Source organism: Homo sapiens, chromosome 6 (assembly GCF_000001405.40).
Source record: "Homo sapiens chromosome 6, GRCh38.p14 Primary Assembly".
Lineage (NCBI taxonomy): Eukaryota > Metazoa > Chordata > Mammalia > Primates > Hominidae > Homo > Homo sapiens.
The window spans coordinates 93,254,899-93,266,950 of NC_000006.12; the positions used below are offsets into that span (position 1 = coordinate 93,254,899).

The 12,052-nt window shown below is 31.9% G+C and overlaps 1 protein-coding gene across 10 annotated transcripts in view; it reads right to left on the reverse strand.

Annotated features, from left to right (window-relative positions):
• EPHA7 (EPH receptor A7) overlaps window positions 1-12,052 on the reverse strand; it is a 179,540-nt gene that overhangs the window by 14,879 nt on the left and 152,609 nt on the right. For 3 of the 10 annotated variants that reach the window (NR_164810.1, NM_001376466.1, NM_001376465.1), the window contains exons 8-13: window positions 9,696-9,804; window positions 8,962-9,017; window positions 4,456-4,569; window positions 3,201-3,386; window positions 2,564-2,625; window positions 930-1,139 (exon numbers count right to left, since the gene is read on the reverse strand). Coding sequence is in view for 9 of the 10 variants with exons in the window: in NM_001376466.1 (NP_001363395.1) it covers window positions 930-1,139; window positions 2,564-2,625; window positions 3,201-3,386; window positions 4,456-4,569; window positions 8,962-9,017; window positions 9,696-9,804 (737 nt within the window). In the remaining variant the exon portion in view is untranslated. Of the gene's footprint in view, window positions 1-929; window positions 1,140-2,563; window positions 2,626-3,200; window positions 3,387-4,455; window positions 4,582-5,054; window positions 5,882-7,914; window positions 8,058-8,961; window positions 9,018-9,695; window positions 9,805-12,052 lie in introns of those variants that run through there. The other 7 variants (NM_001288629.2, NM_004440.4, NM_001376470.1 and 4 more) reach the window with 3 other exon arrangements.

A 12,052-nucleotide genomic window follows, 5' to 3' on the forward strand; every position in this document is an offset into this window, starting at 1 on the left:
CAGCATCAGGTCTACCCATCTTGAATCTCTATGCGTATTTAAAGTTATTTATCTGATTTTTAGAATACCATTACAAGTTTCATCATTTCAAGTTTACAAGGCAACTCAACTGATTGAGATTTGTGTGGTGTTAGGGCAAGAGTATATTGAACAAACAATGACAGGCTGGGTGCTGTGGCTCACATCTGTAATCCCAGCACTTTGGGAGGCCGAAGTGGGTGGATCACCTGAGGCCAGGAGTTCAAGATCAGCCTGGCAAACATGGTGTAAACCCGTCTCTACTAAAAATACAAAAAAAAATTATCCGTGCGTGGTGGTGGGCGCCTGTTATCCTAGCTACTCGGAAGGCTGAGGCAGGAGCATTGCTTGAACCCGGGAGGCGGAAGCTGCAGTGAGCCAAGATTGTGCCATTGCACTCCAGCCTGGACAACAAGAACAAAACTCCATCTCAACAACAACAACAACAACAACAGCCACAACAAAGACAAACTAGGCAAAGTTACTATGAAAATGAAATAAAATATGGATAATTTAAATACATTCTCACATATTTTCTTTTTTTCTAATCTTACAAAAGTTATAAGGATTAGCATAGTTAATATTCCTTTAAATCTTTATTTAAAATGTGATTACAGTTTTCTACAAATATGAGTGCTAGTAGCTAGATGTTTTTGTACGTAACTATATTCTATGACTCTCCCAATATAGGGCAGTCATGTTATCAACACTTTCCTTCTTAGTCTATATATATATTGTACAAACAATGATTCTTCCAGAAAAACAAAAAACAAAAAACAAAAAAAGCAACCTCAAAATGCTTAGCTCAATTTGCTTCATTTCTCCTGTTTAGTTTTACATTATTAGGTCCTGCTTTCGTGGTAGAAAAATCTTAAGAATATGAAGAAGTGCAGTAAATGACTTTTTCTTACAGTAGTTGTATAGACAGCTTCTGGATCATCCTCTATAACTCGGGACAGGCCAAAATCTGACACTTTACAAACGAGATTGCTGTTGACAAGAATATTGCGAGCTGCAAGGTCCCTGTGAACATATCCCATATCAGCCAAATATCTCATTCCAGCAGCAATTCCTCTCAGCATTCCTACTAACTGAATGACTGTAAATTGCCCATCATGTTTCTGCAGGAAGACAAAAATAAAAGCCCAGTTAACTGCATACTTTAAAAGGGACAAAAATCACCATGAAAAATATCTGCGTGCTAGCAATTTGCTATTGTATAATAGGAATTGTTAATTTTTTATATAATATGGATACCTGTGGAAAAAAATAACATGCTTATTTAGCTGACAGCCAAATAAGATAATTTTGGTAATCATTTAGTTATTTATACTAATTTGATATTTTAAAATGAACTAATAACAGTTTGAGTTTGCACAAGTCCAAAAGTATATGCTAATTTTTAAGTTTGGAAATAGAGTATCTAAAAAATTACCCCCAATAGCTAAGTGTTTTCCCCACATGCCAAAAAGTCTAAATAATATAAAAGTATATAAAGAAATTAATATACATATAATAAGGTTTATTTTCCTCTAAATGCTAAAAAAGAGCAACGGGGGAAATATTTGAGGCAAAATGAAGAGAAACTAAAATGTAGAAAGTAATTGTAGTGGCCACTTTGTTTCCATTTCATTTTTTCTTAGTTTTGCTACTGATAGGAGCATTACTTGTAACAAGGATTCTCTAGGACAGATGTACTAGCAAATGGGATTGAGAACTGTTTGCAACCAGACTGGCCACTTCCAACCCATTTTAACCAAAAAATTACTCCAGCTGAATATAAACATGCTGGATGAAGTATGCTAGTCTGAGTTGATTAATTTTCTAGTTGATACTTTTATCATGATGATGCAGCAATAAAAGTTTCTCTAAATCCTATGACTGTTTATACGCCTGAGTTAAATATGATTCTAGATCATATTAAATAACTTTGCATGTTCTCTTTTTCTTTAGATTATTTTTTCTTTGCCATTTGGAAAAATGTTCACATGTTAATATTCTTAGTTAAAAAGCCTCTGAGAATAAAAATATCTATGTTTATATATTCTGGATTTATATGTCATTTACAAATAAACCACATACCATTAATTTGAAAAATAATGTTAATAGTCATACATTTTATGCTTGGTGTTCACCTAACAATAAAATAGAAATGGTTCTACAGAGCAGAGTTGTGATCATAGTGTCAACACAGAATGGTTATCTCACCTTTTAGTCTTTTCCATATTATCTCTATATTTCATTTACAATTGTATATACTGTTTTATAACATGAATTCAAATTACAGGGCTTCGGGCATCCTCCATACCTCAGGTAATAATATTAATGGAAATAACTTCTTGACCACATTGTATTACTTCAATGCTCAAAATATTCTAGTTTAATCTAGTCTTGAACTCTGATTATTAATCTGATTTTCAAAGACAATCTTCTAACCTCTTACTATTTTACAAGGCTCTCATTTTACATTGCAAAAAAAGTTCATAAAATTATATTGGTAGCAAGCATAGTATATTTAGAATAAGTGGATCACTTTGGTACTTACCCTGAGAAATGCATCTAGGGCTCCATTTTCCATGAACTCTATTACTATCATGACTGGTTTCCCTAAAATTAAAAAAAAAAAGTTTCAGGAGTCGTAACCTGAGCTGGAGGGTCATTTCCTTTCTCATCCCCCAATAAAACACATGGTGTTCTTTTGAAAGAGTGAGTGTGAGAAGTATGAGCATTTCTTTTATTGTTGCTGCTAAGCTCAAAAAGTCATTATATGTCTGCTTGGAAGATGGTCATGATTCATAAAATTAAACCATATAAATAAAAGTCACTGTGTTCTTCTGACTCCTGCTTTGTGAGTAAAACTCAGAGAAAATTACACTTTATGTAAAATGTAAAGACTATATTGCATAATTATTATGTCTCTTGAAGAGAAATAAAAACATTTATCAGTCATTCCATCTATCAGAGTTATTCTTCAACTCTAATCTTGCATTCATTTTTTTTCTGCTTTCTTTTCCCTTGAGGTGATAACATAAAGGAAGAATTTTTTGATTAGTTACATACCAAGAAAACACATTCATTTAGACTGTGCAACATATTTCATAATTTGTTTTATTGTGTACATAATAATACTAATTTCTGACACTCAGTCTTTTTGATAAAATAAAGATATAACCAATATCTACCTCTTGTAACAACCCCTTCCAAATGGACAACATTCGGGTGGTCAAACTGCCCCATGATGCTTGCTTCACACAAAAAGTCTCTCCTTTGTTTTTCTGTGTAACCAACTTTCAGGGTTTTTATGGCTACTGCAACATCTCTTTTCCCTGGAAGTTTCAAACGGCCACTGCAGACTTCACCGAATTCTCCTGAAGTAACAGAACAAGCAGGCATATTTTAGTTTCTAAATATTGTAATTTTCTTTTAAGAGTAAATGCGTTGAATTATTTTTCTTTAACTTTTAGTAAATTATTTGAAAGCATTTTAAAATATTTTCAAAAATACTTGGTAAAGCCCTGTGAGTTACACTGAATACATTCCCATATATAGGGGAGTCTATTTCCTAGACACAAAAGTTGTTTATGAAAATAATGGCATAAATGAAATTAAAACTTGAAGATACAGTTCAGAGCTCTTTCATAGAAGTTACGCTTTCCTAAACTGTTAAACAGGCTACTATTTTTCAATTGAATTAACCAACACTCAGGGTCAACATTTAGATTTGAATTATGCTATTATATATTATATATTTAAAAATTTTTTTATATATATTATATTAGTATATTACCTAGACTACCTACTAAAGCATGAGGACACATCAGCAAATTCTAAACATTGCTATTCCTTTTAATTTTGAGAAGAAAATATTTATTAAATATTTAAAATCTGGAATTTATATGCACTATGTCTACTGGATTTAAAGGAATTAGAATCAGAAATGTATAATTAGTATAAAAATACATACATATAGAAAATATTCCCTTTAATTCATACACATTAATTTTCTACATGAATTTAAAGTACAATGGCTAATACCTACAAATACAAGAGAAAAGATAAAAATGAAAGTTTTGTAAGAAGACAGTAAATCAAGTAAAAGGAAATGTGCAGCAAAATTCTGGAAATTTCTGACCTTTTAAAAATACAAATTCATTTCTTAAATGACAGGCCAGAGCTATTATAAAGTAGCTTGTAGTAGAACAATATCTTAAAAATCCAACAGAAAACCAAAAATATATGGATTCTTTGTGCCACATGCTAGTTTTTCACATTTTTTCATAAGATTTCATAAACAAGTACAGCCTCACTGCTTCCAACAGTTCAGGTAAATGCAAAAGTTCTATACTTGAGGGATAATTATTTGCCTGTCATTATGATGTATGACTTTCGATCTTGGCTAAATGGAACAGCTGAACGAGGAAGCTACAATAGCCTTACCTGCACCAATCACACGCTCAATTTTAATACAGGAGGCATCTAGCTCCTTGGCGAATTGATGGACAGCTCTATTTGGGTCCTCATAGGTTTCAGGGTCAATGTAGGTTTTGGTGCCTGGAAATTTAACTGTAATGATGTAAGAAAGCATGACTGTGATGAAGCAAAGCACTTATTGTGCAGTCAGCCCAGGAATTTCATTATGCAGAGTGCTCCTTGGAACAGTGAACTTGCTTCCACATCACCTGATTCACAGCAGTTTTAACAGACTACTTCAGTCTGCTGGCGTATAGGTATTATCTGCAAGCTTCTATAGGTAACATAGGATCCAGCTCATAGGTTACTAACTGAATTGCTTTTCCAGTAAATCAACAAAAGACATTCACCAAAATTTCTGACATGCCTATCAGACTGGAGGTTTAATTAAATTCACTGCTATCATGGCATAGTTCAAGCCATATTAAGGTTTGTAATGGACTTGGAAACACATTTGTAAATCTACCAGTCAGTCAATCAATCAAATTAATACACTGGGAAAAGAAGACATTTCATTTACAGGTAGCCTACTACACTGACAGCAATATTAAAAACATTTAGACATCTTACTTATTCTTTTGATTTATTTTTTTAAAGACCAACCACCGTTGATATATACATAAAATTAATACAAGATGTGAGGGACTTCTATCACAGAATCAAAGAGATATCTTCTAAAGACAGTTTCATCTTCACCTTCAAGGGCAATAGAGGCCAGATATACAAAATGCAGAGTAAAGTTAGAAAATTTACAATATTCCTGGGATCTGTTAACCAAGTATGACAGCGATTTGAAAGAGGAATGGTTTATATGAACTTTCAATTATAAGGCTCTGGAAGATCTTAACTGCTGAGGAGGTAGCCAATATGCCTCACAAAAGGTAGTCAAAATGCAAACAACATAGAATAATCTTAAAAGTTAAAATCTTCTTAAAATGCACCCAGAAGCATGCAGGTAACAGATAATACTATGTCAACTTTAAATAAAATTCAATTACAATAATGTATTCCAAATCTATTTGGTAAAAGACAAAGATAAGATAGATAGGCATATATTTGGTTATATTAATGCAATAAAAATTACACTATATCCTCAAAAAAACTTTATTGTTTTAACAAAGCCACTGAACAATCTTTTCATCAAATCTTACTATTTGGAGAACAATATATTTCTTTATATATTACACTGCAGCCTAACTGTGCTTATGTCATCACATTAAAACTATATTTTAAAAGTAAACACATAACAAAAAGAAGCAAAATGTATAAAGGAAAATGGGATTTAAAAATCTTGATTTATTCTGCTGTAGTTGATTGTTTATCCAAAATTGATTGTCTTAAACAATTATTGTTGCAGTTTATAAAACTGACAGATGCTCATTTGTTACTAAAGCTGAAGATGAAAAAAAAAACAACACGAGAAGAAAAGAGAGAGGGGATAGAAGGAGAAAAGAGAGAAGAAGGAGTATAGGGAAAAGGGGAAGAGAAAAAGAGAGAAGGGAAGAAAACAATAGGTTAACCTCCTAGATTGGCAGGCAGATGGAGAATGAGCCATCTTCTCCCTTTTTATTCTCTCTTTCTTTCATTTTTTTAAAATTTTGTTTTGATAAGGGAGCTAGATTGGAGGTAACCTTCTGCATCTCAAACGGTCTCTGATGGTTCTTTATTCAAGCTGTCATAAAACATTTTGACAGACCAGAGCTTTTTTTGGCATAAAAACATGAAATACTGCCCAGCTTGGATTTGAAGACATTGTTAGAAGAAATGGTAGGAGGAAACAAAATGTAAATTCGAATTGCTTCACTAAATTCCTCCATTGTGTTTATATCTTTAAATGTAGCACTTGGGGCCATGAAAAGTTGAGGGTGCCTGATACAAATGACTGGACATTCTATTAAATTCAGTGCTCTAAAAGCTAGTTAAATGGTTGCTTTCAAGTTTCTGTAAAAATTCAATCTGGTGTTCTAGCACCTGGGAAAATTGTCCATGTACTAAATAGAGGAATAAAAAGACAGCAACTTGTAAACAGCTGGTTACCACAGTATTATACTTTCTATATTAAGTAATCATAAAATCAAATAAAATACCTGGTTTTAATCAAATGACAAGAAAACATATCCTTGGAAAAAGGGTGACTCAAAATATTAAGAATTTACCAGGATAGGATATGTTAAGTGCACTTTTTTCATTATTCATTTAAAAATGAATGTTTTAAAATAAGGAAAATACTGACATTATTTCTGAATATTCTGGTTTATCCCAACTTGAGTATGAACTTTTGTATTTTAAAATATTATTTTGATTTCTCATGAAATTTCAATATCTTAAAACCACCATTGCTAGTTTTCTCTAATGATGAAAACTTTATATACAGCAAGTTTATCTTGTCTATATTAGCAAGTAAGGCATGCAACTATATATTTTCTAATTACAAACTGGATGTGAAATGTGAAAAAAGTGAATGGCATAAAAATATTAAAACTGACTGATGACAATTAAGCATAAGGCTATACAACAAATTTTGGATAAGCCATGTTTCAACTGACCTTCTGCATTAACCTGCAAGTTAAAAGTAAATAAACTGGTGTATGTGATCACTGGGGGATATTTCAAATATGCTCAATAAATAAAAGAAAAGTGACATACTGATTATGGTAATATTAAATAATTGTGCCATTAAATTGTTCACATATGGGCAGGACCAGGGATTTCAGGAACTACAGTCTTATATTACTCTTCTATATACATTCTACACTAGAAATAAAATTTAGGCATTCAAGTTTTGATCTGCTCCTTCCTGTCTGGGGAAGTGTTAAAAATATTCTCACATGTTATTAAATAGAAACAAAAAAAGGTAACCTCCACTTTTTTCTCTATTTCCTCTAGCTATAAACTACCTATGGTTCTCTCTTCACTGAGGCTTGTCGCAGGAAAATTAATGCCAGATTAGCAAAAGGAAGTTCTGACATTGGGGGCATATCAAATAATCCCAAGTGGGGTATAGAAACACACATATTCAGTCATATTCAGGGGTATATTAAGTTTTTTGAGGCTTACCCCATATACAGTTTGGGATACTTTTTTTAGGGGAAAGAATACATGATTATATACATAAATTTGCTACAGCACTCCCAGGGCCTAAAAAAGGCCTGTGAAAGTAAGAGGCCTTGAATATTAAACTTTATAATAAAGCCACTTCCGGGCATACATTTAACTTCAATTTGTAGTAAATTGTACTACCCCACATGCCCTTCTTATCATCAGAGGTTGAGATTCAAGAGAATTTCTTATTCAATTTGTATTTGTGTTACATAAAAGCACTTCTGTTTTGAAAACTAAAGGTAACTGTTGGTTCAAAAATACAAACACATTGAGAAAATTTAGGAATGATAAGAGCATTTACAATTTGTGTATTTAAACCACACATTGTCATTTGAGCTTTTTTATTAAAAAAAAAGTATCACAAAGAAAATCTAAAATGTATTAGAAATTCTTGATGGAGGCTTTGATATTCTTATGACTTTAGGATGGGTATAGGACAGTATCTTCACAGATATTGACATAAGAATCTAATAAATAACACAACAAAAGATACAATTCTTACATCTTATGTCATGGGAAATTTATCTACACATGAGAACATTTGCCAAAGATTATGGGTACTACAAAATAATAATAAAATTGGTTTTTAATATTCTTAAGGATTAAAAATGGGGAAAATAGGTAAAGGTAAGAACATCATCAACTATCATAACTGAAGTAATTTGGTTGTTAGGTTTTGATTTTGCCTACATAAAGTAATAACAGTTACTCTCAGTGCTCTCATTTTCACATGCCATCTTGTTTCATTGCAACAAGAATAAGATTAATGCAGATAGGCATCTATTTTATTTGGGTCCCTAAGCTTTCTTCTAAATATGATTTCTAAAATGAACTTTTAAGAATAAGCTAACTCAAATCCATAGGAAAACATCAGAAGTATGAATCTTATTATTATACTATTTATGTCCTATGAAATATCTATCAATGATAGGTAATTTATAGTAGCTGAAGAGAAAGAGGCTCCTTAATTTAGCCTTTTGTGGTAGCATCACTCATTGGATTAAAAAAGGGCCTATCTTTGTAACCTGACATGACATTCCTTAGCTAGAGAAGGGGCACATGCAACCTTTAATGTATTATTATTAGGATGGTAAGAAACACTTGGGCAAAGTTTGCAAAATGAAACATTGTGATGTAAAAGCAGCTGAATATCCTGCAATTATATGACATTTCTGAACATATTTTATTTTTTCAAATTCACATCACATGATTTTAATTCTAAACATCTGATTCAAATGCTTTAAAGCAACATTTTGAGCTCATGGTATAATTTCAAGCATGATGCATGAGGACTTTGTTAATGCCAATGCTAATAACCAGATTTTTCTGTTAATAGGGGTACATCATAATAAAGAAAAGCCAAACACTTACAATGAAAGTAAAGCTCTTCATCGCCTTCTTGGTCAGCTTTGCTATAACCACAGTGCCTTGAAGAAAGCAAATTTGTGACAATCTCAGTCATTTTACTTTATATATTTAATATTCAGTACAATGTACCTTAGTTACTCAACAACTTACTAGAGTTAAATTTACTGTTCATAGTTATGAATCCATTTAGTAATAATATAGCGATTCACGATTAAAATTGCAAAGAAAACAAACTTTTTGTGTGAGAAAATGTAAAAGGAACATTTTAAAAAATACATTTAGATTGAATACACAAAATTCAGTATGATTTGAATCCACAAGGTTCAATTTACAAAAATATTCATGAGTCACAAATAGTCACAGGTGAATGTTTACTTATATTTCTTTCTGGAAAAGAAAAACTTTTTAAATGGTGTCCACAAACATTTAATAGCTAAAAGAGTAAACATTTCCCCAGGTATATTCTATATTTATTATGAAAACTTAACTCTGAAAATAAGCAAAAATATTCACCCAATAAAAACTGCAATACTCATTCTCTTTAAATGAAAGGCAGTGATCAAACTCATATTCCATTTTGATCTTGAAGGAATGACACATTATTGACCTTTAATGTTTTATATCAAAGAATGTTTGCATTTACTATTTAAAATTTTATTACACTAAGTAATAGGCTGACATAATTCTTAAAAAACAATACATTTTATGTTAGAGATTAGAACAACTTTGTGTTCTACCTTCTCCCAATGATGAAGCCAAAGACCATGAACACCAAAATGATGGTCCCAGCTACAGCAACCACAGCAATGATAATAACAGGATTCTGTTCACTGGAGACAGCTGTAGCTGTAAACAGAGGAAATAGGCTCAGAAATACTTGACACCATGCAAGAACTTGAAAGGTTAAATAAAATTAGAGTTATCTTTTCTATTTAATTCTTTATAATTTTAAATAACTGCATTATATTGTAACAAAGTAAATTTAAATAAATGTTTATTTCTGCCTTTTAAAGAACTTGTAAGGACAATACTTTCACATATTTTCCATTTATCAGCTACAAAAGAACGTATAAATGCCTTATTGAATGATTATATTCCTGCTTAGTTGTTGAAAGCTTAGTTATAAATCAAGAGATAGACACATCTGATCTGCATGTGCTATTAAATCCCTATTGTTCCTCAGCAAGGCATTTGATTTTGATCCCTTTGTGTCTTGTTTTTTGGTATGTGAAATCAGAACCAAAATACATACCTCATGTATTTTTGAAGTACCTTAACACACATTAAATGCTTTATCTCTCATATCATCAATTAAAATGGAAAGCATCATGTAATCATAAACATCATAAATTTATAGTCCACTATAATTCAGGAAAAAGATGAGCCACATTGTCTGTGTTAATTTTCATGAAGTATGAGTAAACACATTTCATATTTTAAGATTACAAAGTAGCTAGCCTATTTTAGAAAAAGCAAACTTTCTGCAAGTGCTTTAAAAAACACTATCATTACCTAACTGCAAACCCTTCCTATACAATACTAAATAATTCTTCTATGCTCATTAAGGCAAACCTGGCTGAACTTTTCTGACAGTCTCTTTGGGAAGAAGTACATGTTTGCATGTCTTTTAAAACACCTTCTGATATAGAATTTTTGCACTTATCACTTCCATTTTTCCAAACTAGTGAAGTTTTATTTATATGATGATTCACAATTGTCATATTTTCCCAGAGTTTCATATTTTCAGTAGCAATACAGACTTTATAAAATCATCAAGGACATATGAAACAATGAAAATGAATATTCCAATAAATGATCCAGTTGCAAATATCATAAAATACATAATGTCAAACTAATATAATTTGCTATCTCTGAAACAATCAAGAGCTGCAATCTTTAATTTAAGGCAGGATGGGAAATACCATTCCTTCTTGTTGATGGCAAGGGACTAGATCTCTAGAGAAGTAATTCATATGAAGGCAAAACATATCTTGCCACAATAGGAAGTATAAAGTTTTTTTCAGATTGGCCTTTCTCTAGTTTGTCTGTCTCCTTTTGACAACTTATCTCTTAATTTTGTATACCTATGCTAACAAGAGATAGCTCCTGTGTTGAAAAACAGGAAAAATCGCTCTGGTCTAATAGATACTTTCTGAACAAAGAAGATTATACACATTCTCTAATTTATCACCTGCTGAATTGCTCCCTGAGGGAACTTAAAAAGGTTAAAAAAACAGAAGAAGAAAACAACTTTCAAATACTAATTTCTGAATTACAGCCTATTATCACACAACAGAGAAAAGATGACTTCAAGTCTTTTAAAAATTTGCTTATTTTTTGTTTTTAGTCTGTTTTTTAATGTACATTTTAAGAAAGAAAAAGAATGGAGTAGTTCCAGTCATGAGGAAGAAAAAATTATGTACATATGTTATGAAATTCTTTCCATTCAACCGATGTGTCCCATGGGCCTAATTCTCTGCTTGTCTTAGGCTCAGTTTTTCCCTTAGCTTCAGAAAGAGAACTCTAATGAGAAAAATGAACTCAGGTGAATGATGAATCAGAATTTGTGCATATTTATTTATACATTTTTGTATATTGTCAGGGTCGTACTTTAATCTTTCCATAGTTGACATTATGGTTAATATTTTCATCTATTTCAGGGCAATACATATTAAAAGTAATTTGCTAAGGCTATAAACAGAATGTCATGGTTTAAAAACTCGAAACAGTAGATAGGATACTGCACAGAAGGGGATTTTAGGATGTATGTGCAATGGAAGAGACTGTCAAATTTCTCTTTACAAACAGTGCTCAAGTGACTTCTTTTAGGCTGCATCTTACCTTCTGACCTGCTTTCTGGCACAGCAAGTCACTGCTCCCTGACATGGTGATATCACTGGACCATGCATTCCACCACTGCTTAATTGTGTGGCCAGAATCTGTGTACCTGTCCCTGTCTTTCACTGAACTTTTAATAAAGATCATGAACTGTGTGTTTCTGTGCCTCCTTAATTCTTAGCATAGTACCTTATGCTGACTCACTGGTTCACAAAGAGTAGTCTGGAAAACTCTGAGAGTCCTCAAGAACTTTTCA